The 3,148-nt window shown below is 36.1% G+C and overlaps 1 annotated feature.

Annotated features, from left to right (window-relative positions):
* Positions 414-975: an enhancer, noted in NCBI's record as "NANOG hESC enhancer chr3:115193927-115194488 (GRCh37/hg19 assembly coordinates)". NCBI's record gives its function as "activates a minimal SCP1, AML or CMV promoter by ChIP-STARR-seq in naive H9 embryonic stem cells {active_cell/tissue: H9 hESC(naive)}" and the evidence as "EXISTENCE:reporter gene assay evidence [ECO:0000049][PMID:30033119]".

Consider the following 3,148-nt stretch of genomic DNA (forward strand, 5'->3'; position numbering starts at 1 on the left):
CTCTCTCTCTCTCTATATATATATATATATATATATATATATATATATATATATACACCGAATCACCAACTCCAGTGCTTGGAGTGCAGTGTGTATATATACACACAATCCCAACTCCAGTGCTTGGAGTGCTATATATATATATATTATATATATATTATATATAATACATCTGTATATATATATAATATATATATAATATATATATATGCCTAGAGAGGTTAAGGAACTTGCCCAACATCACGCTATATATATATATGTGTGTTATATATATATGTGTGTGTGTATATATATATGTGTGTATATATATGTGTACATATATATATATATATATGGATGGTTTTTGAAGATGAGAAGATGGAATAACTGTTGATGAAGAAGAGTAGAAGACTGAGATCATAGCTTTGGAAGAAATCTGTAGTTGTGGGAGGAGGGAGAAGAGCCAGCAACAAAGACAAGGAAGAATCATTCGCCAAGATTGGAGAACAAAGGAGTGCAGTGTCACAGAACCAAGAGAAGACTAAGAAAGAAGGAGAAGGTGCTCAACAGTGTCAAAAACCATAAAGAGGCCAGGAGGATGAAAATTGAGGAGAGACTGCATCTGATAAATAGGAGGTCACTGGTGACACTTGAGAAAGAATTCAATAACACAGAAGGGGTAAGAACACAGCAGGGAGTATTCAGGCAGGAATGTGAGGGCAATTAACATGGGTCCCTAGCTTAAGAACTTTGGCACTGAAAAGAGTAATTAAAGTGTTGTAGTATAACACACCTCCTATTTCATAATCAAAGACAATAGGAAGGTGAGATATTGCTGGAACTTCTGTAATCTTCTGTGGGAGAGAAACTAGCGGTAGAAATGTGTCTTTTTGCTCCTGAAAACTGAGCTGTATAATTCTCTATTTCTAAGTTGCCTTTCCATCAGCATTAACTTTACATTTTCCTTAACTTGTCATCTTTCCGTGCTGACAGTAGGAAGAAAAAAAACATGCTAATCGACGGAGATAAAAGTGGAAATTCTAAGACTGTCGATCTACATGATTTCTCTGGCGGCTTTTCATTGGCAACAGAGTGTCTAATGTTCAGGGACAAGAGGAATCAGACCGCAGGGTGCCTGCCAGCTCTCCAGAGGACAGAAACCCTCTTTTGCATGCATATAAATAAGCCCAGAAATAGGTTGTGAGATAAGAAGTATTGTAATGTCATAGAGCCCTATACTACGTGAAGGGGCCTGGGCTCTCCTGATGGCGGAGGTATTTGGATGCTGTGTGGCTGGAGTAGATAATGACATTAGAAAAGAACCATTCAGAGGTATGATATATTTTCCTGGTGTACTGTGCCAAGGTGGCAGATTGTTTAATTGTGTAAAATGTAAGACTGAACAGTTCTTTCCTCTCACCTTCCCAAAATGCTTATGGTTGCAAAGGGAAAGTTTGGCATTAGTTTCCATTCATTTCAAAGGATAAAAAATGGCTAATGTAGAGATGTATTGATCTTTGAAAGGTCAGGAGCAGATTCATAGGTCAAGGTGTTATTGCTGAATAGCTAAGATGCTATGTTAGGGGAGGGACCACAGGAAGAAACAATATGAAAAACAAAAACCACAAAGGAATGCCCCATACATAAAATTAACTCCATTTTGTTGCCTTTGTTTTTAAAGAAAAACATAACATTTTATATACACAGTCGTGCACTGTATAATGATGCTTCAGTCAATGACAGACTGCATATATGATGGTGGTCTCATAAGATTACAATAGGGTATTTTCCCTATACCTTTTCTATGTTTAGATACATAGAATCTAAACATAGAATTGTAACTGTGTTACAGTTCCTTACAGTATTCAGTACAGTAACATGCTGTGTATGTCTGTAGACTAGGAGCAATAGGTTATACCAGATAGCCTAGGTGTATAGTAGAGTATACCATCTAGGTCTGTGTAAGTACACTCCATGATGTTCATAAAATGACAAAATCACCTAATGGTGCATCCTTCAGAATGTGTCCCTGTTGCTAAGCAACACATATAATGTGAACACATAGGTTAAGTGACATAGGTAATGACTATGTATGTGGTTGTGTCTGTATGTATGTATATATGTGCAGATACACACATATAACATCATCATTTACTTCAAAATTAGAAACAGAGTTCAGACAATAAATTCAGTACCTGCAAGAAGTAATTAGAAATATAGTTCAGTTTCTTTGTTTAGCCTTAAAGTTCGGAAAAAAAAAGAAAGACATACAGATAAGAGCAAGGGAGATGGAAAAACGAGCAGCTATAGTTCCAGCTGAGGTGGGAAAATTGCTTGAGCCCAGGAGGTTAAGGCTGCAGTGGGTCCTGATCATGCCACTGCACTCTAGTGTCAAACTAAACAAAACAATACCCAGAAAGAAAGTAGAAATGGAAAGGGAAAATTAAGGAAAATGAGGAAGAGGGAGAAAGAGAGAGGAAGTTGGTGTAGAGGGAAATGCCAAGACAGATGTTGAATACATATTCAGTGAATAACTATTATGTTTCCAAAACAGTACAAAGAGCTAAATGAGAGCAAATATAAGCAAAGCCATGGAAAAGAAGGCCTGACAAATCAAGTCTTTAGTGTTCTAAGGTTGGTTCTTTCAAAAAAGGTTATATTCAGGCTGACCACAAATTGCTGAAGTATTAAATACGTGTTTATATATATTTGAATATGTTATCCCCATTTTTAAAGGCTGCTGTATTACAAGTTCCATGAGTATAAAGATTTTGTTCTGTATTAGATGACTTTCACAAAATATATATGTTCCTTTTACCTCTGCACAGTGCTGATCTAACACTATATATTTCTGAAATAATTTCCAATGAAATTGGCACATATATAATAGTTCACTCAGCACAGTGCACATATTTATATATACATATATGCTTTATGGCTTCATTCTCTTTTGGCCACTGAGGGCTAGCATAGCAGTCTTGTTCTGTATACTCTTCGCTAATGAAGTTACCACATTGCATTGCAAACATTCTTAATGAAGACTCATCTATTATTCTAAGGTAAAATTTTTTTTAAAAGGCTGTTTTCTCAGTTGTGGCCTCTCCATCTGCTGTTATTTTGTCTTCTAGGAAATAGTTGTAGACTCTCATTACTGACGAAAATATTTGCC

This window comes from Homo sapiens, chromosome 3 (assembly GCF_000001405.40).
Source record: "Homo sapiens chromosome 3, GRCh38.p14 Primary Assembly".
In the NCBI taxonomy this organism is placed as follows: domain Eukaryota; kingdom Metazoa; phylum Chordata; class Mammalia; order Primates; family Hominidae; genus Homo; species Homo sapiens.